A 25,496-nucleotide genomic window follows, 5' to 3' on the forward strand; every position below is an offset into this window, starting at 1 on the left:
ACACGAGGGTCAGTGGCAGCAGGCGGGCCAAGCCCTAAGTCTTTTCTTCCTCATGCGGTACCCCCAGTCGTCCTTTTACTGGTGTCAGTTTAGGACCTGAAAGCAGAGAGCGGAGGTGCTGGGGTCACACTCTCTGGCCATCCCAGAGCTAGTCTGTGGCTAGCGGGATACTTGATCTCGTCACCTTGTACTCTTTAGTCCAGCAGTCACCCAGTATTGTTTTGTTTTGTTTTGAGTGCCTACCGGCAGCTTTTTTACCAACTTGCAAACTTGAGGCAAAGTAAGATAGAGTCTTTGGTTTTGAGGCCTGGCATTTTTTTTTTTTTTTTTTTTTTGCCTGAGTTTATAACCCTTCTTTAGGAGGACGAGTGGAAGGAGTAGTGGGAATTGCTAGCTACTGCCAAACCACTTTATGTCTATAATTAAGCTAACATTAAGAATCCATGCGGCCAAATGAAAAATGAAAAAAAAAAAAATACGAGTGTATGCTGCAAAGGTTAACCATTGGTTAACTTAAAGCAGTATTTTGCTGTTCATGTCTATGTTAGGAAAACTCAAACAAGAACCTTAACAGAGAGAATGGATTTTACGGCAATGTTCCTATAGCGACCGTTTTTTTTTTTTGTTTTGTTTTTTGTTTTTTTTTGCATCTGCACTGTCTGATCTGTTTCCAGCCATCTTAGAAAGAGGTATAGTCTCCCAGCAACTTGTGACTGAGCGATAGAAGAAATCTTTGCCACCAGACAACCTGACACTTAATTGCTGTGCATCCAGTTTTGGGCTCCTCAATCATCTGCATTACTCAGCTAGGCAGAGAAACGGAATTTTTAATTAAGGGCTTTTCAAAACTGCTGTATTATTTTTACAATTTGACTTAGCAGAGAACAAATGGATTCTGAAGTTTTAAATTAGCTTTAACCTCTTACTGTTTCTCACCAAGTTCATTGTGTGGCACAATTACAGTGTTTATGCCAGTACCGTGCAGATCTCATGCTATGTGGTTACATTTTCTACTAATCTGAAAAGTTCTGTAATATTATGTCCATTTATTTGATTTTAGGGATGTTTCAGATTCATTTCCAGGAGTGGGTCAGCCATAGTTTATTCACATACTGTATTCAAATAATATTAGACTTAATAATTTCAAAAATACATATTTAGGCCTCTGCTGTATGAGTAACAGAGATAATCTTTAATTTCCCTTCCCTTCCCCACAGAGCACTTGGTGTAAATGGAATATTTGGTCTGTATATGTCTCACTTTCAGTAGTTTGAAAGTATTTAACAAAGAAGATAACCATTTGGTATGAAAGCAAACTATGCCTGGTGCTCATAGTGAGTCCCTGAATATAGTGTCTACAACAGTTCTTTAGAGAACACTGAGTAGTTTACAGTTATATAGAATCTATTCAAAACAGAAAATTTAGAAAGAATAAATATAAGAAGCAGCTTTTAAGCTCCCTGAAGGCTTTAATTCTTTTAACAACCCTATGGAGGTAGATACGTTTATTTTCCTTATTTTAGAGATGATGAAACTGAAACACAGAGAAATTAAGTAACTTGCTCAAGGTCACACTCAGTGGCACACCCATTTAAACTCAGGCAGTCTGGTTCTAAAGCCCTGCTGCTAACTATTGTACTGTCTGGCCTCCCACTATACAATGTGGCTTCTTTTTAAATTGCTTGTCAAGTATGAAATTATTTTTGTTTTTTTCCACTGTCCCAGAAAGATACATTTTTTGATGTGACATGTCTAATTTATTGAGAACTAATTTCTCAAACCTGATTTGGCAAAGCAGAGACCAGAGGGAATGTTTTAAGACTAGTTGGTCTTTTGGACCCATTCTGATTTTTATAGCTACATTAATTCTTTTTGTTCATTTTATTTATTTTTGAAACACGAGCTCTTGTCACCCAGACTGGAGTACAGTAACATTATCATGGCTCATTGTAGCCTCAGCCTCAAGTGATCCTCCTACTCCAGCCTCCGGAGTAGCTGGGACCACAGGCATATGACACCATGCCCAGCTAATTTTTTTTTTTTTGAGACGGAGTTTCACTTTCTCTCCAGGCTAGATTGCAGTGGTGCGATCTTGGCTCACTGAAACCTTGGACTCCCTGGTTCAAGCAGTTCTCCTGCCTCAGCCTCCCGAGTAGCTGGGATTACAGGCACGTACCACCACGCCCAGCTAATTTTTGTATTTTTAGTAGAGATGGGGTTTCACCTTGTTGGCCAGGATGGTCCCGATCTCCTGACCTCGTGATCCGCCCACCTCAGACTCCCAAAGTTCTGGGATTACAGGCGTGAGCTACCGTGCCGAGCCATGCCTAGCTAATTTTTAAGTATTTTTGTAGAGGCAGAGTCTTCCCATGTTGCCCAGGCTGTTCTTGAACTACTGGGCTCAAGTGCTGCAGGTACTAGGGAGTCTGAGGCAGGAGGATCATTTGAGCCTAGGAGTTTGAATCTAGCCCAGGCAACATAGTGAGACCCAGTTTCTTAAAAGATATATACATTTTAACTTGTCAGAGAAATAGGCTTAATTACTTTCCTGGTAAATAGCAGTGGCGTTCACTTTGCTCGCCACTAAAAAAAAATTTAAAGAATTGTCTAGCTTAAAAACGGCTTTATTCATACACAAATTTAAATCAGTCAGTTCTCTGTGTCTCTGTATATTTTGAATGCCTACCAAATAAATTCACTAAGACTATTGTTTGGAAAAAAATGTGAAAGAAGAAGTTAAAATAACACTGGTGGTTGGTGATTGGTGACTATTTTATTTTTTTGAGACCGAGTCTCTGTTGCCCAGGCTGGAGTGCAGTAGCGCAATCTTGGCTCACTGCAACCTCTGCGTCCCAGGTTCAAGTGATTCTCCTGTCTCTGTCTCCCGAGTAGCTGGGATTACAGGCACGCACCACCATGCCGTGCTAATTTTTGTATTTTTAGTAGAGACGGGATTTCACCATATTGGCCAGGCTGGTCTCAAACTCCTGACCTCAGGTGATCCGCCAGTCTCAGCCTCCCAAAAGTGTTGGGATTACAGTCATAAGCCACTGCACCTGACCGTGACTATGTTATTTTAAAGGCGTTCCACGATTTTCATTCATTGTGCTGGGTGCCTCAAGACATGGGTTTTTTAAAAGGTAAAACTTAACAAAACAAATAAATACTGTTAAGCAACCCCATGTTGTCTGCACTTCTCATTCACCTTTGCTTCCAAATAATGTGATCTGAAGAATGTTATCCAATATTCAATAGGTTCTCAATAAATATTTTGTGATAAACCTGTTGTGACCAGGTTGGTATACACATCCACTTGGCTAAATGTGGGATATTAAATTGTAAAATGTTAATGTTAAAGCGTAAATTTATATAAATGAAATATATATGGCCTATATTTATTGTCAGTATAAACTATCCAAGAGGGCCGTTAGGTTTCTTAACAAGAAACCTTTTTCTTGAGCTTTAGAAGAAAGTCGTTGATGATAAAGCTAATTTAGCTGTTTTAGCACAGGCCCATTGTATGTAATACATTATGCCATTGACTCAATGTTTCAAGTTTTCCAGATTGACCTGGTCAGACTTTAGTTGTGATTTGTGACATTTGCATTGAGAGATGAGTTGAGACTGGTAAAGATCCATTGTATGCCTAGCCCCTGTATAAGAAAATGCTATAATTAAGGTTAACCTGATTGTACCGAGCTGGTAGCATTTTTAGCAGGAACCTACTCATTATTTCTTGAGATAATACTCATTAATTTACAATGGAAACTAGTCACTCATGGGAATGACCCTTCTACAGTGATACTGGTCATCATGATGTATTTCTAATTCCCAGAAGCTCTAGGAGCTAGATTTTCTGTTGATAGAAGTTGATTCCTCTATGGGTAGACTCTTAACAATTTTTAATGAAACTCCTAAGATTTTTGTAAATTGTTAGCATTAGAAAAGATAAGGTTCAAAAAACTGATTTTCCTTTGGGAGGGGTTGATGAAATGTAAGTAATTTTGAATATCACGCAGTCAGAAAATAGGTGTGTGCCTACTATGTGTGTGCACTGTGTGAGGCACTGGAGATAAAACTGAGCAAAGCAAAAATCTTAACTTTCAAGTTCTAAGAGTCTATAATAGATAGTGTAAATCAGCTTTAGACAACTTTTATATGCTTTTTGTTTGTTTTTGAGACAGAGTTTTGCTCTTTTTGCACAGGCTGGAGTGCAATGGTGTGATCTCAGCTCACCACAACCTCCGCCTCCTGGGTTCAAGCAGTTCTCCTGCCTCAGCCTCCCGAGTAGCTGGGATTACAGGCATGTGCCACCACGCCCGGCTAATTTTTTTGTATTTTTAGTAGAGATGGGGTTTCTCCATGTTGGTCAGGCTGGTCTTGAACTTCTGACCTCAGGTGATCCACCCGCCTCAGCCTCCCAAAGTGCTAGGATTACAGGTGTGAGCCACTGTGCCCAGCCTTTTTTTTTTTTTTTTGGAGACAGAGTCTTGTTCTGCCACCCAGGCTGGAGTGCAATGGCGCAATCTTGGGTCACTGCAGCCTTCGCCTCCCAGGTTCAAGCACTTCTCCTGCCTCAGCCTCCGGAGTAGCTGGGATTACAGGCATCCGCCATTATGCCCGGCTAGTTTTTTGTATTTTTGTAGAGACAGGGTTTCACCATGTTGGCCAGGCTGGTCTTAAACTCCTGACCTCAAGTGATCTGCCTGCTTGGGCCTCCCAAAGTGCTGGGTTTACAGGTGTGAGCCACCGTGCCCGGCCTTATGTTATTCTATATATATAATTAACACAAACAATACTTACTGAGCACCTGCTATAGATTAGATAATCTAGGCCCTCAGAGATAGAGCAGTGAACTAAAATGAAAATTCTGCTCATATAGTGCTTACATTATGATAGGGAGAGACAAACAAGAATTATATTAGTGGTAACAATTGCTTTGGAGAAAAATGTTAAGCACAGAAGGAGAATATGTGTGCAGTGGAGTGGTTTTGCATTTAAAATGGATTGATCAGGAAAACTTGTTTGAGAAAGTGACGTTTTAGCAAAGACAAGGTAGGCCAAGGTAGCCAGGAATGCATGTATCTGGGGAAAGCATTCCTGGCAGGAGAAACAGGTCCCACGTACCTGAGATGTGAGTATGCCTATTCAAGGAACATGGTGTGGCTGGAGCAGGGTGACCGTGGGAGAAGAGTGTTAGGTTTAGAGTGTGGGGGATGTTGGGGCTGTAAGTATAGGACCTTTTGCTCTGAATAAGGTAGAAAGCAATAAAATTTCACAAAGAGTAGTGACATAATCTGACTTTTAAAGCATCTTAATCAAATGGAAGATCTTTTGACTGACTTGAAATAACAGCCTTCTCACTGGTTTGTTGTATGTGTGACCTTAGGCAAGTCCCTTGAAACTCAAAATTCTCAACTCAAATGGAGAGACATTTCTTGAACACTTAGTGTGACAGCCTTTTATACTATGAACTCATTTAATTTTCATAAGCCTATGATTTGTCAGTACTATTACCCCATTTTTTACAGTTGAGGAAACCGAGGCACAGAAGAGCAACTTGCCTAAGGGCACAATAGCTTTGTCATGTTGGAGGCAGCATTTAAACCAGGTAGTTTGACTCCAGAATCTATGCTCTTTGATGCTGTTCCTAAAAATAACATTCTTATTAGCAGCCCTCTCAGCTCCACAGGATTTTTGTGAATAAATATATTTATCTAGCATCTATACAATAATAATAGCTTATTTGGCGGAGGGGTGGGGGGGTGGGGTGGGGGTTGGTCCGTGCTAGGCACTGTCATAAGCATTTAACATCTATTCACTGTGTAAACTTCATAACACCTTTTCAGGTAGGTACTATTGTTTTCTCCGTCATGTAGATGAAATGCCTGAGGATCACTTGCCAAGACCACACAACTAGTAAGTAATGAAACTGGAATTTGAACCCAGGCAGTCTGGCTCCAGAGACTGCTTAACCACTCAGCTGTCCTTTGTCTTGAGGACAGTCTTGAGTTAAAACTCAAAACTTTAGGTAATTTTGAATTTGAGCTTAGTGACTAGAATTTTGTACTTTGGGCACTTAGATTTTATACGCCTAAAGATCATTCTCAATCTTTAAAGACTCTCCTACCTTCATAACTTGAATTAGCCTAAATTTTTCTCAGACTTTTCCCCCTATAAGTCAAGGTTCAGGAAAAAAAAGACCTTCTGGATTATGGGATGGGAGATTTCTGGGGACAAAGGATGAGAATATAGCCTATATAAAGAACAAAGTTGAAATGTCTTGGAATCTTTTTACTGAAATCTATGTGACTTCTTTCCCTTCCATAATAAAACAATGATGGTGTTTTGTTTTTTGTGTGTGTTTGAGATAGGGTCTTCCTTTGTTGCCCAGGCTGGAGTGCAGTGCATGATCATGACTCACTGCAGCCTTTAACTCCTGGGCTCAAGTGATCCCCTCCTGGGTTCAAGTGATCCTACCTCAGCCTTTTGAGTAACTGGGACTACAAGCACATGCTGCCATACCCAGTTAATTTAAATTTTTTTGTAGAGATAGGATCTCACCATGGTCCCCAGGCTGGCCTTGAACTCCTGGGCTCAAGGAATCCTCCCACTTCAGCCTCCCAAAGTGTGGGCTTACAAGTGTGAACCACTGCACATGGCCTGGTGGTGTTTTTATAATACCAAGATACTGCACTTTTTCCAAGTCTTTGAGAAAAATTAATGATCCAGAGAACACTACTGTATTTGTCATGTGTCTTCTCATACTCCATTAGGGAGAAGTCAACCCAAATTAAAACCTGACTTTCACCAGAGGACGTAGCTTCTTCTGCACATCTCTTAAATACCTTTTCCTGCCAGAAATGGAAGTTGGCAATGTGACATCCAAAAATCAAAGTTCTTTGAGTATGGTACCCTGTAGTGGCTATGTGTTTTTCACTCCCCCTCATTGTTGTCAACTAATTAGTAACTTCTCAGTCATACCGCCATTCTCTCTCCCCCACCCCTTCTCCCAGCAAGTTTATTCAAGACTATGAGACCTGGCTAGACAACGTACTTTTGCAGTTCCTGGGCCTCTGTGACTCCAGTGAACCTTTAATTCTCTCTCAACTACCCACTCCTAGAACCATATATTATCTTGTTATCTCCTGGAATTGGTCTACTTGGAATCTTTTTTTTTTTTTTTTTTTTTAATGAGATGGAGGATTCTCTCTGTTGCCCAGGCTGGAGTGCAGTGGTGTGATCATAGGTCATTGCAGCTGCAAACTCCTGGGCTCAAGTGATCTTCCACCTCAGCCTCCTGAGTAGCTGGGACTACAGGTGTGCACCACCATGCCTGGCTCCACTTGGAATCTTTACCTCAGTGTCTTTCACAACACTGATCGACTTGAAGTTTGCTATATATAACTGCCTTTTGTCACCTTCTTTCTCTATTTGAAATGCCCCTTTTTCCCTTCTTGTTAATTCCTTACTCATTCTCTAGGGCGGTGTTACTCAATTTTTTTTTTTTTTTTTTTTTAAAGACAGGGTCTTGCTCTGTCACCCAGGCTGGAGTGCAGTGGCCCCATCATGGCTCATTGCAGCCTTGACCTCCCAGGCTCAAGTAATCCTTCCACCTCAGCCTCCTGAATAGCTAATTTTTTTTATTTTTAGTAAAGATGAGGTCTCACCTAGCTAATTTTTTTATTTTTAATAAAGATGAGGTCTCACTCTGTTGCCCAGGCTTGTCTCGAACTCCTGGGTTCAAGTGATCCTCCTGCCTTGGCCTTCCATGGTGCTGGGATTACAGATGTGAGCCATTGTGCCTGGGCCAACCTTTATTTTTTAATCCCTGTCCTTTCTCAGTAAACGTTTCTTCTTTCCTCCTAACATCCCTGCTTAACAAATTGGTTTCTTTCTGTGATCTACAAAACAGTGTCCCTGACCGTTCTCGAAATTAGTTTAGGTGATCCTTCAGTGTTCCCATAATGCCCCTATTTGTGTCTTCATCATTGCACTTCTCCAGTATTTTATGGTTATGTCATGTGACTTAGTTTTCCACCAGACATTAATTTCTTTGAAGGAGGCAGATACTGGTTTTGTAATCTGTTTTCTTTCTTTTTTTTTTTTTTTTGGTTTTGAGACTGCGTCACACTGTGTCACCCAGGCTGGAGTGCAATGGCGCAATCTTGGCTCACTGCAGCCTCCGCCTCCCAGGTTCAAGAGATTCTCCTGCCTCAGCCTCCCGAGTAACTGGGATTATAGGCATGTGCCGCTACATCTGGCTAATTTTTGTATTTTTAGTAGAGAGGGGGTTTCCCCATGTTAGTCAGGCTGGTCTTGAACTCCTGACCTCAGGTGATCTGCCCACCTTGGCCTCCCAAAGTGCTGGGATTACAGACGTGAGCCACCATGCCTGGCTTGTACATCTGTTTTCCTGCCGCGTGGCTTAATGCTTACCCATGGTTGGTGAGTTTTTTTTAAATGTTAAAGAGATTGTGAGTAGACAGATGAATTCTTAGGTTGCAAGGATAAACTTACTAAAAGTATAGGAGTATATAATATGAAGACCTGACAAAATAATCCATAGCTTCCTCCAAAAATAGTATGATGGCCTGAATCTAGATAATTTAAGGCCACTTTTGGTCTGATATTCTAGGATGATGGTTTATTATGGAGTAACTTTTAAAGAGAAAGTTAAATAGTGCTTTTGAACCAGTATTTAACTTGGGATTCTTAAACACCAAGGGCTCGACAACGTAATTTAGAATCATAAACTTTTTAACTCAGCATAAGCCAAACATTTAAGCACAGAATCCCCCACTTTATTTATTTATTTCCATAGCATCTGTTAATGTAAATGTATTTTGGGAAACTGAGTTCTCATTTGAAATTCAGAGAGATTAAATCACTTGCTGAATGAATATTGGGCTGTACTGTATTAAATTACTGATATTAGACTTGTTGACTTACAAAAGGCCCTTCCATGTGGTTCAGCCTAATGTCGTATGATTGCTTACTACAAGCCTAGAGTCCTAACTTCCGGTTTAGTTCACTTTGAAGATTCAACTTGTGAGGATGTGTTTATACTATCACCATCATCAGTATCAGCTACCAATGCACATTGATTGAGTGCTTATTTTGGGTATAGCTCAGTATTGGCTCTAGAGTTTTGTTTTGTTTTGCTTTGTTTTTAAGGTATAAGATGAAATCTGCTCAAAACAAGTGACCTGCTGGGTTTACTGTAGAGACACCAAGTTTCATGAATTTCAAGTGGAGAAGGAGATTAGTCTTCCAGTGTATGTTAATAGTTAGTAGGTCTTATTAAAAAAGAAAACGGGCCCTTTGGTTGTTAATGTGTGAGAAATGTTGGTTTAAAAATTAAGTTACTGAGTGGCTTCTTGTACTAAATCAATGTTAATGAGGTTTTGCTGTGCCTGGTTTGCTTTTCCCTTTTTCTCTAACCTGTACTTTTTAAGCTCACTCCATTAGGGATTTCCTCTAATACTTTTGGTGAGTTCAACCATTAGAAACACAATAAAGTTGTATCACTATCCAACTCAGTTCTTGCCGTAGACCTTCTTTGAAATAAAATGTCTGAAGCTGTTCTGAAAAAATTTTAGTGACTGACTTCATGTATTACATTGAGATGTATTTTCTCATTACTGTTATTTTCTTATGGCTCTTTGAATACTTGATAAATGATATGATTTTAAAATGTGTTTGATATATTTATAGGATGGAAGATGCTAATTCTGAAAAGAGTATAAATGAAGAAAATGGAGAAGTATCAGAAGACCAGTCTCAAAATAAGCACAGTCGTCACAAAAAAAAGAAGCATAAACACAGAAGTAAACATAAGAAACATAAACATTCCTCAGAAGAAGACAAGGATAAAAAACATAAACATAAGCATAAACATAAGAAACACAAAAGAAAAGAGATTATTGATGCTTCTGATAAAGAGGGTATGTCTCCAGCAAAAAGAACTAAACTTGATGATTTAGCTTTGCTAGAAGACTTGGAAAAACAGAGAGCCTTGATTAAGGCCGAACTTGATAATGAGTTAATGGAAGGAAAGGTCCAGTCTGGTATGGGGCTCATTTTGCAAGGTTATGAGTCTGGCTCTGAAGAAGAGGGGGAAATTCATGAAAAGGCAAGAAATGGAAATAGGTCTAGTACTAGATCTTCAAGTACAAAGGGGAAACTTGAACTTGTGGACAATAAAATTACTACAAAGAAACGAAGTAAAAGCAGATCCAAAGAACGGACTAGACATAGGTCTGATAAAAAGAAAAGTAAGGGGGGTATTGAAATCGTTAAAGAGAAAACAACTAGGAGCAAGTCAAAGGAGAGGAAAAAATCTAAAAGCCCATCCAAAAGAAGTAAGTCTCAAGATCAAGCAAGGAAATCAAAATCCCCTACCCTTAGAAGGCGATCTCAAGAGAAAATTGGTAAGGCCAGATCTCCTACTGATGATAAGGTTAAAATTGAAGATAAAAGTAAATCAAAAGATAGGAAAAAATCCCCAATTATAAATGAAAGTAGAAGTCGCGATCGAGGTAAAAAATCCAGATCCCCAGTTGATTTAAGAGGTAAATCCAAAGACAGAAGGTCACGGTCCAAAGAGAGAAAATCAAAACGGTCTGAAACTGATAAAGAAAAGAAGCCAATTAAATCTCCCTCTAAAGATGCTTCATCTGGGAAAGAAAATAGGTCACCCAGCAGAAGACCTGGTCGTAGTCCTAAAAGAAGAAGTTTGTCTCCAAAACCACGTGATAAATCAAGAAGAAGCAGGTCTCCACTTTTGAATGATAGAAGATCTAAGCAGAGCAAATCCCCCTCGCGGACACTGTCTCCTGGGAGAAGAGCCAAGAGCCGATCCTTAGAAAGAAAACGACGAGAACCAGAGAGGAGACGACTTTCTTCTCCAAGGTAACTTGTGTACAAAATGTTAAAGCTTTTTACCAGTGCATGAGATTTTAAACGGAAAACTAGAACTTGTGGACCATTAAAAATGAAGTAGTAAGTAAAAATAAAAATAAATGAAGTAGTAATGAGTTTCATAATTTTAAGTAACCCAATCCATTAACCATGTTAATATTTGCACTTTTTTCGATGAGTATTTTAAGTATAGGTGTTTAACAAATACTGAGCTTGATGATAGAATTGGGTTTTTTCACATTCTTGATTTAATACCTAGTTTGCTAAGGCACTCCTTTCAATCCATGTAATTTGGCTGATAAATCTTCATTGGGGGCGTTTAGAGAGAGGATTATTACTTCATGAACAGTGTAGGCTGAAACTCTTAACTTTGAAAAGGGGGAAAGGTAATCAGTTTAACAATTGTGTTCTGTTCATTCTCTTGTATTTGCATGAGTTTTAAATTTTAACAGTATAAATAGAAACCAATACCAATATTTTTTGGTCCCCAAAGTATAATTAAAATGGAAAATTTTGTATTAATACATATAATCTCATTGTTGAAAAGTAGTATCTCTTAAGCTTAAGAAGAATAGTATATGAAATTATTTTGTACTATTTGAATAATATATTGTCTTAGTTCTTATAAATCCTCATGTGATTATCTTAACTCATGAGGTGAAGGGGCTCTCATACCTAATTTATAAATGAAATAGAATCAGAGAATGTATATAATTTACGTAGGATCATAGAACGGAAGTATTTGCGGGGAGGAGTGTTTATACCACTTAAACTACTTTAGAAACAGATTTCTTAATGTCTTTTTTGTATTTAGTATTTAAGTATTATGAAATTGCCAGCTAGGTTTTGCTTATTAAAAGAGTATTGGCTTATACTATATAAGGATGTTATTAATTCCTAGCCGTTTACTGTGTTCATAATAATATTTTCTGTGAATGGGTATAAATATAAACTCACCCTGAAAGTGAAGTCATCATATTTTCAGAGAAATTTCAAATTTTATTTCCAAGTGCTGTGTCTTAAGAGCGTCTTGATTCTTTACTTCTGAGTGGCACTGTAATGAAATAGCCCCTTTTTCCTTTGGCTTCCTGGATTGAGGCAGTGATTAGTTTTACTGATTCTGTTATCTCAAGTGCTTCTTAATTATCTTGGTGGTCTTTCAGTTTGCTTTGTTTGAAGAGCAAATTCTGAGGAGTTTATTAAGGACTAGAGCTGAGTATTTGAAACAAAAATATTTTTTTAAATTACAGAAGTGATGCATACTTACTTATTAAAGAGAAATCCAAATAAGCCTGTAAATTGTCTCCCTTTTCATTTCTCCACTACCACTCCTTAGAAATTTACTTTATCTTAGGTCTTTCCTTGTACAGACAATAACATGAATATAAGGGAATTTTTTTTTTTAACAAAACTGGAGTCATATTATTCATATTCACATGTGGCTTGCTTTTTTCAGGAAACATTTCTGCGACAAAACATATAGATTGTTTTTCATTCTGCCTGACAGCAACTGGTATTTCAGTGTAGATGTATTATAGTATCATTCTCCTATTGAAACTGATGAAAAATTTAGGTTGGTTCCAGTTTTTCACTATTATATGCGAAGATGTGCCTTGGTTATATGTGAGGTTTCTTTATAGAATAGACTCATAGAAGTGGACTTGCAAAGTCTCAGAGTATGTACATTTACATTGTAGAAAGTTATTGCTAAATTTCCATCCAGGAAAGTTAGGTCAATTTCTACTTCTACTTCTATGACTATGTGAACTGCCCCTTTTCCTGAAACTGTATTAGGAAAGTTTAGGAAAACCTTTATTACCAGGATACCATATAGTATTTTGTCACTCTTAAAAACAGAACAAAAAACCCAAAAATTGTTTTAATCGAAATTTCTTAGGTGACTAGTGAGGGTGAACATTTTTATTTTCTTTATTTTTATTTATTTATTTTATTTTATTTTATTTTTTGAGATGGGGTCTTGCTCTGTTGCCAGGCTGGAGTGCAGTGGCGTGGTCTCGGCTCACTGCAACCTCTGCCTCCTGGGTTCAAGCGATTCTCCTGCCTCAGCCTCCCAAGTAGCTGGGATTACAGACACGCACCACCATGCCCAGCTAATTTTTGTATTTTTAGTAGAGACAGGGTTTCACCATGTTGGCCAGGCTGGTCTTGAACTTCTGACCTCGTGATCCGCCCACCTCGGCCTCCCAAAGTGTTGGGATTACAGGCCTGAGCCACTGTTTATTTTCATTGCATTTTAGCAGACAACACTCTGTTCTTTTTATACTAGTTTACTTTATCCCATCCATTTATATATACATATATATACACATATATGTGTGTTGTTTTTGTTTTGTTTTGTTTTGTTTTTTTGAGATGGAGTCTCGCTCTGTCGCCCAGGCTGGAGTGCAGTGGTGTGATCTTGGCTCACTGCAACCTCTGCCTCCTGGGTTCAAGCAATTCTCCTGCCTCAGCTTCCCCGAGTAGCTGGGACTACAGGTGTGCGCCACCACGCCCGGCTAATTTTTTTTTTTTTTTTTTTTTTTTTTTTTTTTTGATATTTTTAGCAGAGATGAGGTTTCCCCACGTTGGCCAGGCTGGTCTCGAACTCTTGACCTCAGGTTATCTGCCTGCCTTGGCCTCCCAAAGTGTTGGGATTACAGGCGTGAGCCACCGCACCCAGCCCATTTATATTTTTTAACTGGTCTTTTGAGGCTGTGCGTGTATGTGAGCAGATTAAATAAAAGAGTTTCCTCAGATGGCCCTATCAAGAAGTAAGCACTACCAAGAAGTAAGCACTACAGATCTGAATCAAAGTCTACCTTGCTCATTTTGGCTGGATCAGAGAAGGATTCTTGGGTTCTGTATACCGTGCTGAAACATGCAAGGCAGGTTGTGTTTTTAGGTTTTTATTAAATGAGGAAGGCAAGTTGCAGTGGCTCACGCCTGTGTTCCAGCACTTTGGGGAGGCTGAGACGGGTGGATCACCTGAGGTCAGGAGTTCGAGACTAGCTTGACCGACATGGAGAAATCCTGTCTCTACTAAAAATATAAAATTAGCTGGACGTGGTTGCTCATGCCTGTAATCCCAGCTACTCAAGGCTGAGGCGGGAGAATCTCTTGAAGCCGGGAGACAGAGGTTGCAGTGAGCCGAGGTCACACCATTGCACTACAGCCTGTGCAACAAGAGCAAAACTCCATCTCAAAAAATAATAATAATAATAAATGAGGAAAATACTGTAATATTATTTGATTATGGAGACAAACCTATTTACAATCTGACTGTTCAGATTGAATAGTTGTGACCAAACCTGGAATAACATTAAGAAATGTTCAAAACCTGTTTTAAAAAATTAAGCTGTAGAAAGGCCTGTTGTAATACAAATATCACATTAAACAAGAGTAAAACTCACTGAAAGGTACTTGTGTGATAAGTGTTGAAAAGTTGGGTTTTTGTGGGGTTTTTCTGGGGAGACTGGAGGCAGGGTCACACTCTGTCACCCAGGCTGGAGTGCAGTGGCATGATCTCTGCTCACTGCAACCTCTGCCTCCCAGGCTTACACAATCCTCCCACTTGAGCCTCCCTATTAGTTGGGACTATAGGCACATGCCACCACACTTGGCTAATTTTGATATTTTTTGTAGAGATAGGGTTTCGCCATGTTACCCAGGCTGGTCTCAAACTCATGAGCTTAAGTGATCCATCTGCCTCAGCTTCCCACAGTGCTGGGATTACAAGTGTGAGCCACCACACCTAGCTATTGTTTTTGTTTTTTTGAGACAAGTTCTCACTCTGTCACTTGGGCTGCAGTGGCACAAACACAGCCACTGCAGCCTCAACCTCATGGGCTCAGGCGGTCCTCCCTCAGCCTCTGAAAGTGCTGGGATTGCAAGTGTAAACCATTGTGCCTGGCCTATTATACTTGACATTAAAAAGAAGATTTTTGCCCGGGCATGGTGGGTCACACCTGTAACCTCAGCACTTTTGGAGGCCAAGGGAGAACCACTTGAGGCCAGGAGTTCGAGACCAGCCTGGGCAACATAGTGAGACCCCCATCACTACAAAACAAAATATTAGTCAGGTGTGGTGGCATGCCCTTATGGTTCCAGCTGCTCAGGGGGGCTGAAGTGGAAGGATTGCCTCAGCCTGGGAGGTCAAGGCTGCAGTGACCCGTGTTTGCGCCACTGCACTCCAGCCTGGGTGACAGAGTTAGACCCTGTCTCAAAAAAAAAAAAAAAAAAAAAAGATCCTTAATTGGAGAAATGTCAGGATGTAGAAAGAAAAAGTCGTCAATGAAAATGGAATATTTGAGTAAATGGAGTATTATACTCACTTGGGGAGGTTTTATTTGAGTTGGTTTATTTGAAATTAGAATCAGTGACTTTACCGGTATGAATAACCTTTAGTAATTTTTCAAACTGTGGGACCAGAGGAAATAAGACCTTTCATTGTTTGCCTGCAATAACACCAAAATATCACTGTAGTCACCTGAGTAAGTTTTGTTACAAAACACATTAATCAAAGTTCACTTTCTTTAGGCTAATGTGCCTTTTCTTACAGATGTTCTTTGCATATAGAAAAAAATCATTTACTTTGATTTATATTTCTTTTAACTTGCATTTGATCCCCTTAAGAACACGACCTCGAGATGATATCCTCAGTAGACGTGAAAGATCAAAAGATGCCAGCCCCATCAATAGATGGTCTCCAACCCGAAGAAGAAGTAGATCTCCCATTAGAAGGAGGTCTCGTTCCCCACTCAGACGTAGCAGGTCTCCAAGAAGAAGAAGCAGATCTCCTCGGAGAAGGTAAAGACATTTCATCCTTGTGATTCATTAAACTCTGAATGTTTTTGAACCACCAGTGAGCTCACTTGGTAGGTTTTCTTTTAGACCAGTTTTCTCTGAAAAATCGTAGTTGTGTTCCCATAGTTTCCTTTTACCAGCAATCTCTACACATGGGTTTTCTTTTATATCGTTTCCTTTGAATTTTAAACAAATCATTGCTCATTTAGGATGCAATAAAATTAGTCTTTTAAAAATAGGACTTTTTTCTCTCTTTTATCAATCAATACTAAATGAGCCAGACTTAGGGATTTTTTTTTTTTTTTAACCAGCAAGGTAGATCATGTAGTAGTAAATATATAGCCCAGTTTCTTACATTTTATATTAATTTTGCATATTGATAGTTACTGTAGACTTAGGCAAAGGCCTATTTAATTTGCCATAGAAACCATTTTATCTGAAGCATATGTAGTCAGTAATAGGTTAAAAAGGTGGTTTATAAAGCAGGGAATCATTTTTTAAAATTCATACATACATGAAATATTTTAATATAAAACATAAATGGGTATTTGTTTGCCAATCTTTTAACATTTTTAATTGAAGTAATAAATGAATATAATTTTTAAGAAACAAAGGCTTATATTATAGCCATCTTTACATATCTCTCAGAATTTTTGTATGCTGTATTCCTAGAAATGGAAATGCATGGTCTGAGTGCACTCTGGTCAATGAGGGGTTTTATTTTATTTTATTTTATTTTATTTTTTGACAGTCTCACTCTGTTGCCCACGCTGGAGTGCAATGGCGCGATCTCACTGCAACCTCCACCTCCTGAGTTCAAGCAATTCTGCCTCAGCCTCTCAAGTAGCTGGGACTAGAGGTGCCCATGCCACCATGCCCAGCTTTTTTTTTTTTGTATTTTTCTAAATAGAGATGGAGTTTCACTATGTTGGTCAGGCTGGTCTCGAACTCCTGACCCCAAATGATCCGCTCGTCTTGGCCCACTGCACCCAGCCACAATGAGGGTTTTTAATACTACCGCTTACTCATGTTTCGCTTTTGCCTAATTTCATCACACTTTTTTGTTCTTCTAGAGTCAGTATAATCATTGTGATCCTGTATGTATTCATTGCTGAGCAAATAGTTGGGAGAGGAGGGAAGAGAGGACCTCCCTTCTGACACTGCTAGTCTTCTTGCTCCAAGCTGATCTCAAGACTTGCTTTTTTCTCTCTTCCCTTTTTATAAAAAATGTCTTGTGTTCTGAAATTTATTATGTGCCTCGGTATGTAGATCTTTATCCCCATTTATTTTGCTAATTACTAGATAGGCCCTTTAAAGCAGGGAGTTTATGGCCTTCTGGGAAATTTTTGTGCTTTTTTTTTTCTTTCTTTCTTTCTTTCTGTTTTTTCCAATTGGACCTTCTATATTGTTCCACGTATTAACATTTTATTCATGTTTTCTGGAAATAGTATTTTCTGTCTCTCAGACAATAGCGAGGTTATTGTGTGAGATTTTTGTTCTTTATAGTTTTCTTTGCTATATTGTGTTTCTTCCCAGATTCCTTTTGCTGCATGTTTACTTTTCATTTGAAGACTTTTCTCACACAGCTGGATCCTTCATTGCTGCCTATTCTGAGTTAATATTTAGGTACTGAGAAAGCTGAATGGGATTTTTCTTCTATTGTGACAGTGTAGGACTTGTCAGCTAGTGGTTATCACTTCAGAGTAATTAGATATTTTTGGATATTAGTGACTGTAGATGTATTTTCTTGGGCTATGAGTTTTCCGGAATCCTTTCATTTCCTCCTGGGAAATAGACCTGGCTACCAGTAGAGTTCTCTTCCTTCATAATGTAAACTTCCTTATAATCTGTCTATCTTTGGTATGTGCCTCTCAGCATCTGGAGTGACCAACCCTTCTCTAGAAAGCAAATCTTAAGTGTTCTGCTAGAATGTGAAGGGAGTGGTTGACATTTTCCACTGAGTTGGGGAGGGGACTGTACCGAGTCTGGCTGTTTATAAAGGCTTTCAACCAATTCTGTCCTCAGCTCTTACCTCACACCATCTTGCAGAGGATAGGGAGTCTCCAATTCCTGAGGCTTTCTGGGGGTGTTGTGACATGTTCTGACTGTTTCTGATTTACCTTGTGTGTTCATGTTGGACCAATATTCAGCTCAATTTGATCTGTTACTATTCTTTACTCCAATTTGCACATTCTAAGATTTTATTCTCATCTCTGCTATCATCTCTCTTGACATTCTCCTTGCCTGAGGGTTTTCCTCCCCTCCCCACCCCACCCCTCCCTTCCCCTCCGATCTTTCTCTTTTCTCTCTCTCCTCTCCCCTCTCCCTTCTCCTCTTTTCTTTTCTTTCTTGAGGTAGGATCTTGCTCTGTTACCCAGGCTGGAGTGCAGTGTGATCACGACTCACTGCAGCCTCAACCTCCTGGGCTCAAGGAATCCTCCCGGTAGCTGGGACTATAGGCACGCACCACCACACCCAGCTAATTTTTTTGTATGTTTTGTGGAGACAGGGTTTTGCCATGTTGCCCAGGCTGGTCTCAAACTCCCGAGCTCCCTGCCTGCCTTGGCCTCCCAAAGTGCTGAGATTATATGTGTGTACCACTGCACCCAGCCCCCAGTTTTTTTTTTTTTAAGTACTCATTTACTGTCATGTTAGTGAGGTTTCTTTAAGTTGAGCTCATTGAAACATGCATATAACTTACATAAAGTAAAATGCTTTTTGTTGTAAAGTTGTGTGAATTTTGACAGACACATAAGTCACACTCAAGTTAGAGAACGTTTTCATCACTCCAAGTTCCCTTTTGCCCCTTTTCGGTCTCTCCCTTCACTCCAGTGCCTGTGTATACAACCGTGGTGCTGTACGAATACAAAGAAACAGTAGGTATTTATCCCCATAGAGCTTATATTCAAGTTCAAGTTCATATCCATGGGAAGAATTTCTTAGTTCAGAGTTTGATAAGGAGTAGGTATGTTTTAGTTATCTTCAGCTAAGCTGGTTATCTCAGTCTTTCTGATGTTCTGTTCTTTTACTTAAAATTTTCAAACGACCTTTTTAAAAAATAGACTATATTTTAGAAGAGTTTTAGGTTTACAGCAAAATTGAGTAGAAAGTAGAATTTCTATATATCCCCTGTGCCCACACATGCATGCCTTTCCCACTTTGACATTTAAAAAAATGTATACCTGTCTTTTCTTCTTTAAATAGGGACAGAGGTCGGAGGAGCAGATCACGCTTGCGAAGGCGGTCTCGATCACGCGGTGGTCGTAGACGAAGGAGCAGAAGCAAAGTAAAGGAAGATAAATTTAAAGGAAGTCTTTCTGAAGGAATGAAAGTTGAGCAGGAATCTTCGTCTGATGATAAGTAAGAATAGAACTTACCCATAACTTTGTTTTTCCAGTTTAGAGAAGTCTTATTTGACTTGGAAATTGTTAAATAATATCCACCTAAATATTATAAGTGGCTCCATTAATTTGGCTCTGAATTTAAAAGTTAGTCTTTTGTGAATATTGTGTAGGTTGTATCACAGAGTTAGTAAGCGGTTTTCTGAATGTAGGTGTTTCAGCTTTGGCTGGAGTGAACATTGGGCCTTCATTTTATTGTGAGCCTACCCTTTGTTTTTATTATGAACAATACATACATTAGTCCTGCCGGCCAGAGTTACTAGATTTTGGGAGGAATTTTCTATAAAAGTTTAGAACTTTGAGTTTGTGTTAGATGATACATACTTTGCAATTGAGGCTATTTTGTGATGAGTGTCCTTTTTACAACATGAAAATGTAGAAACATTTCAAGTGTCTAATACAATTGTGGGGACATTTTTCCCTGTCTCTACAAAAAATACAAAAATTAGCCAGGCCTGGTGGCACACGCCTGTAGTCAGGAGGCTGAGGTGGGAGGATCACTTGACCCTGGGGGGAGAAGGTTGAAGTGAGCTTGATCACACCACTGCACTCCAGCCTGAGCAAAAAGAGTGAGACCCTGTCTCAAAAAACAAAAATAAATAAAATGCAGACTTGATTGTCTAAGTGGAATATCTCAAAAATAAATGGGACAAATCTAGAGCCATTCTCAACAGGAGGTTATTAGCCTCCCTGGGGACATGTCTGAGGACATTTCTTGTGATTGTTGGCTAGAGGCCAGGGATACTGCATTCTACAATGCACAGGATAACCCCCCACACACACACACAAAAAGAACTATCCATATCAAAAAACAAATCATGCTAAGGATGAAAAACCCTGATTAAAACCAGGTGATTAAAGTTGGATGGGAGAAGGGCATTCTACATAGATTCTGATAGAATCAGAGTATAGTTTGCCTATTCTTCTGCAGCGAACATTCAGCAGGTAAGATCATTGAAAAAGTTGCACTGGGAAGGATCATAAAGATTGTGGAGGTGGTATTTGAGGGTTAGTGCGGAGGGTTGGGGGCAGTGTTGCGGAGTAGAGCCACATTCCCCTTCAGATTATATGCAAATATTTGCATGTGCATTTTTGATAGGGAAGTACGGGTATAGCTTTCTTGAGCTTTCAGGCGGTTCTGACATCCAGAAAAGGTAGCAATTTACTTATCTTACCCTTGCCATCATTTTATAGGTGAGAAAACTAAGGCTAGATAGGTAAAGTGACTTTACTAAGGTCATGGAAAAACTAGTGGCAACTTTTGTAAACCTGGAGTTATTTCTTTTATTCCCAATTTTGGTGCCATGAAATAGATGAGAAGAAAACTGAGACAAAGGTTAGGTTACTTCCCCACATTCCAAACCAGGCAGTTAACTGAGATGGTTTGGAAACAAAAGTAATAGGACTTAAGACTTTTGCTCTAACTTACTGATACCTACATTTTCCTGCCTTTAACTTTAAAATGTATAAGGGGTATGGTTTTAGAATCTCTTAAGGGTGTTTGAATTTTTCTTTAAGCCTTGAAGACTTTGATGTAGAGGAAGAAGATGAAGAAGCCCTAATAGAACAGAGAAGAATCCAAAGGCAGGCAATTGTTCAGGTATGTGATTTTAATGAAAAATAACCATTATTGTAGTAAAAGATTTTTTTGCTTTAACAAAAATGTAGCATTAATAACAGTTGAACAGGTCCTTAGAAAAGGATAGTATATATAAAATTATCTTTGTGAAGTTTGAAAAAATGATCTTTTTTTAGTTACTAAAACTGAGATGGTTGCTCTTTGTTGGTTATACATAGAATTCTGGTTGTTTATACATAGAATTCTGATGTAAACCTCTTCTGTAAAACATGAGAATCTGAAGTTTGCTTTCTTTTTAAGTTAATGAACACGTATGAGTATAGAATAAACTGGAGGAATTTTATTTAGCAAAAAATTATGCATGTTACTGTGTGAATAAAGTAAATATTTTAATATTTAGTAATGGCAAGTTTTGTAATGTGAATATGGTGGTTTAAATGAAACATTTGAAAAATAATTTTAAGACTAGAGCCAGATGATGAAGAAGATTGGGTGGGGAAAGAATGTTATACAAAGATCTTGATACAGCCATTTAATTATAAGGTTTGGTGACTTGGAAGGTTGTCAGCTCTTCCTTCGAAGACAAAAGGAGAAAACAGCTGTGGCAGCTTACCTAAACACACATAGCAAACCATAAATCAGGTAATAGTGTGCCACGTTGGAGTGAAGGACAGAACTTGCATCACCAGAAAGGAAGTAGGGCAAAACTAATTCCGGAGGAAGCTTACTTTTCTGGGACACTGGTAAAATTGTAGTTAATAAACTGATATCCCTGAAGATGTGGATGAATCTTTTTTTATTCTTGCTCAGGTCCACAACCCCTTACCTCCAACCCTTGGGGCCATATGTGCTTTGGAACTCAGAAATTTTTGAGTTTTAGAAAGGTGATATGGTGCATCTATTATGTGCCATCAGTGGGGTCTGCAGCAGACCCCATAATCAAACACGTTAATATTTCTACAGTGAGGCATACTGTAGTAGTCACACTGGGGAGAAAATAAGACAATAAATGGTGCCTCATCTGATCAGGTCCAGTGCTGCCACCTGATGAATGTGCACTGAAGAAAGAAAAACTTTTTCAGATTTTTGTGAATTTAGAAATTACATAAGGGATTGCAGATTTGATTGAACCAATAAATACCATTTGGTTTGTTACATTATTTGATACGTTCTCTTAACTTTTCACTGCAGCAACTCTTAGCCATGAATGTATTTGGATAGCATCCAATTTTATGAAAGTATTATCTTCTGTATTGTTATTACAGAAATATAAATACCTTGCTGAAGATAGCAACATGTCTGTGCCATCTGAACCAAGCAGCCCCCAGAGCAGTACGAGAACACGATCACCATCTCCAGATGACATTCTGGAGCGAGTAGCTGCTGATGTTAAAGAGTATGAACGGGAAAATGTTGATACATTTGAGGCCTCAGTGAAAGCCAAGCATAATCTAATGACAGTTGAACAGAATAATGGTGAGAGAGTTTTGTCCTGGCGACGCTTTTCTCTGAATTGTTAGCTCTGTAACTTTATAATAAGAGACGTTATTTGGGGTGGGATTAGGAAAAGTAAAAGATTAGACATGTTGCTTCTGCTGAATATTGCAGTAATATAATATTAAATATGTCCTTAGAAATGTTCTCTATAAATGTGTTTTTATTAGTTCACATATCCTGAATAGTATACTGAACTCTCACATATTCGTTACCTTTTGTTTTGCTTGCTATTTTAAAGCAAATCCAATTATGATTTTATTCCCCTTCTGGGTACTTGTTTGTGTCTCTGTCAGTTAAGAACATTAATGTTTTAAAACATTAAATAAGAGGTTTCCACTTTTTGGTTACCCCAAAAGATAGTTTGTATAGGAAAGGCAGGGTAAATACATGTTTATTATTTTCTTTATTTACCAATTTTTAGAATACAGTTGGTGTCCTAACAACCTCCAGAGATGTCTAATGAGATTTTGACTGTTTTGTTAGGTGTTCATCATTTGGTGTCATTATGTGCTTGATGTGTTTCGATCTGGTGCTGTTATTTTTCTTTCTGAAGCTAGATTGGTCTCTCTAACTGGGTTGGGGAAAGGAGCCCTTTTTCAGTTGATTTCTCTTGTCCTTTTGCCCCAGCCCTTTAGTATTCAATATAGCTTTCTTACTTTCTAGAACAGGAACCAGCAAACTTTTTGTCTAAGAGGTTAGATAGTAAATGGTTGAGCCTTTAGTAATTATATTGGCCTTTTCCTTTACAGTTCCATATAGTGAACTTGTTGGAGGGCAGAACCTGCCACAGACAATATATGGTTATTATTATTATTATTATTTTTTTTTTTTTTTAAGAGACAGAGTCTTGCTCTGTCACCGAGGCTGGAGTGCAGTGGCGCGATCTCAGCTCACTGCAAGCTCCGCGTCCCAGGTCCACACCATTCTCCTGCCTCAGCCTCCCAAGTAGCTGGGACTACAGGCGCCTGCCACCACGCCTGGCTAATTTTTGTATTTTTAGTAGAGATGGGGTTTCACCGTGTTAGCCAGGATGGTCTCGATCTCCTGACCTCGTGATCTGCCTGTCGGCCTCCCAAAGTGCTGGGATTACAGGCGTGAGCCACCACGCCCAGCTGACAGTACACTGTTGAACGGACATGGCTGTGTTCCAGAAAAAACTTTGGCACTGAAATTTGAATTTCATCTAATTTTCACTTGCCACAAAGTATTCTGTTCCCCCACCCCCGAACACTTACAAATGTAAAAGTAGGCCATACAGAAAGAAGCAGCCAGCTAGATTTGGCTCACAGTCTGTATATAGTTTACCGACTCCTGCTCTAGCAAGATGCACAGGTTTATCTTGTGCATGTCCTGCCCAGAGCAGAATCAGCTATTTCTCCAAGGATCCCTGGTTCCATTTAATAGGAAATGCCATTTAGACATCACAGCACACTTACTAGTGTCTGTAATTTCTGGGCCTTTGCACTGGACAAAGTTAGGAAGTAGATACTCTTTTGGAAAGGAGGAGTTTACACAGATATTGCCAATTTAAAATTGAGATTATTGGGGTTTATTAACTTATGATTTTATATTTCTATCTCTTATTACAGTGAAAAATTTAGTTCTTAACATGATTACAGATAGGTTATCTTGAAACTTATACACATTAGATATCAGTATGATTATCATTACTACATATACTAACTGTGGCTTAAAATTTCAGTGGTTGTTTTTAGGATACATTCTAAGTTGTATAGGCACAATTCTCTGTCTTTTAAAATCATTTGAAATCTCTGTATGGTATGCCACAAATTTGATAGGCTTAGGTTTATTTTCATTTGCTTTTGTTTTTTAGGAATCATCTTTTTTTCTTAATAATACATTCTTTCATGTATGCATGTATGTGTGTATATGTTGTATCCTACCTACACACACAAAACCAAACTATACATACTTAGATCGATATACTTTTCCTCACTCCTTTTTATAGGCTCCGCCATAGTTTATTCAGTCAGACTTTGATATTTGAATTGTGTCCAGTTTCTGTCTATTCATTGGGTACTGATTATAATGGTGTTGTGCATTAAGTCATTCTTTAATTCTTGGCCACTGTGTTTTACGATAGTTCCCTAGAAGTGGGATTGCTGGGTCAGAAGAGGGAGTGAATATATAATTTTGCTATGTATTACCAAATTCCACTCTTTTATAAGGGTTGTACCATTTTGCCGTCTTTCTGAGTGCTTGTATATCCAGAGCCTTGTTAACAGAATGTTGTTGTACTTTTGGATGTTTAGCTAGTATCAGAGGTCAGAAATTGATACCTCATTGTAGTTTTAATTTGCATTTCCCTTAATGTAAGTGATAATGAGCATGCATTCATATGGTTAAAGCGACTGGATTTTTTTTTCTAGAAAATCCTTTTATTTTTTAGCCAGGTTTTCTGTGGGATTATTGGACTTTTAAAGGGAGAGATACATAGAGATTTAGATCTATAGTTGAAATATTAACCTTTTGGGATTTAAGGTGCAAATAACATGTTTTAAAGATGAGCTTTTATTTTAATGTGAAGTCATTGCTTAGCTATTAGCTTATTCATGTAAACTAAGAATAGTAAAAGTTAACATTGGGTCTTTCAACTTTTTTTTTTTTTTTTGAGCCAGAGTCCAATTCTGTCGCCCAGGTGGAGTGCAGTGGCGTGATCTCAGCTCACTGCTACCTCCCTCTCCCAGGTTCAAGCAATTCTCCTTTCTCAGCCTCCCAAGTAGCTTGGATTACAGGCACCTGCCACCATGCCCGACTAATTTTTGTATTTTTAGTAGAGATGGGGTTTCGCCTTGTTGGCCAGGCTGGTGTCAAACTCCTGACCTCAGGTGTTCCACCCACCTCAGCCTCCCAAAGTGCTGGGATTACAGGCGTAAGCCACCATGCCCGGCCGGTCTTTCAGCTTTCTGAAATGCACTCTGTTACTAAAAAGTGAATACCTTTATGTATCATAAATGTTAATAAAGTGATTCTAAATTGAATACTGTTGGGAAACTGATGTGCAAGAGGGCAAAAAAGTTTGAATTACTATTAATGACTTCCCATTCACTTATTTTGTGTTTTAAATCATCTCTTCACTTTTCAAACATTAATGCTAATTTCCTTTAAGGTTCATCTCAGAAGAAGTTGTTGGCACCTGATATGTTTACAGAATCTGATGATATGTTTGCTGCGTATTTTGATGTAAGTTATTTTAAATCAAGTGTTAAAACAAAAAAAAATAACAAATATATTGGTGCGTATATACATATAGAGAAAGAAGAATAAAGCAA

General features: G+C 38.7%; 1 protein-coding gene across 35 annotated transcripts in view, besides 1 other annotated feature; it reads left to right on the forward strand.

The window, feature by feature from the left end:
• Nucleotides 1–25,496, forward strand: part of PRP4K (pre-mRNA processing factor kinase PRP4K) — a 43,684-nt gene that overhangs the window by 542 nt on the left and 17,646 nt on the right. For all 35 annotated transcript variants that reach the window (XR_007059353.1, XR_007059354.1, XR_007059355.1 and 32 more), the window contains exons 2-7: nucleotides 9,718–10,914; nucleotides 15,556–15,729; nucleotides 18,931–19,086; nucleotides 20,646–20,727; nucleotides 21,972–22,182; nucleotides 25,334–25,407. Coding sequence is in view for 2 of the 35 variants with exons in the window: in NM_003913.5 (NP_003904.3) it covers nucleotides 9,718–10,914; nucleotides 15,556–15,729; nucleotides 18,931–19,086; nucleotides 20,646–20,727; nucleotides 21,972–22,182; nucleotides 25,334–25,407 (1,894 nt within the window). In the remaining 33 variants the exon portion in view is untranslated. The remainder of the gene's footprint in view (nucleotides 1–9,717; nucleotides 10,915–15,555; nucleotides 15,730–18,930; nucleotides 19,087–20,645; nucleotides 20,728–21,971; nucleotides 22,183–25,333; nucleotides 25,408–25,496) is intronic.
• Nucleotides 642–701: an enhancer, noted in NCBI's record as "active region_23896". NCBI's record gives its function as "activates an Ori minimal core promoter by ATAC-STARR-seq in GM12878 lymphoblastoid cells {active_cell/tissue: GM12878}" and the evidence as "EXISTENCE:reporter gene assay evidence [ECO:0000049][PMID:35858748]".

This window comes from Homo sapiens, chromosome 6 (assembly GCF_000001405.40).
Source record: "Homo sapiens chromosome 6, GRCh38.p14 Primary Assembly".
In the NCBI taxonomy this organism is placed as follows: Eukaryota; Metazoa; Chordata; class Mammalia; order Primates; family Hominidae; genus Homo; species Homo sapiens.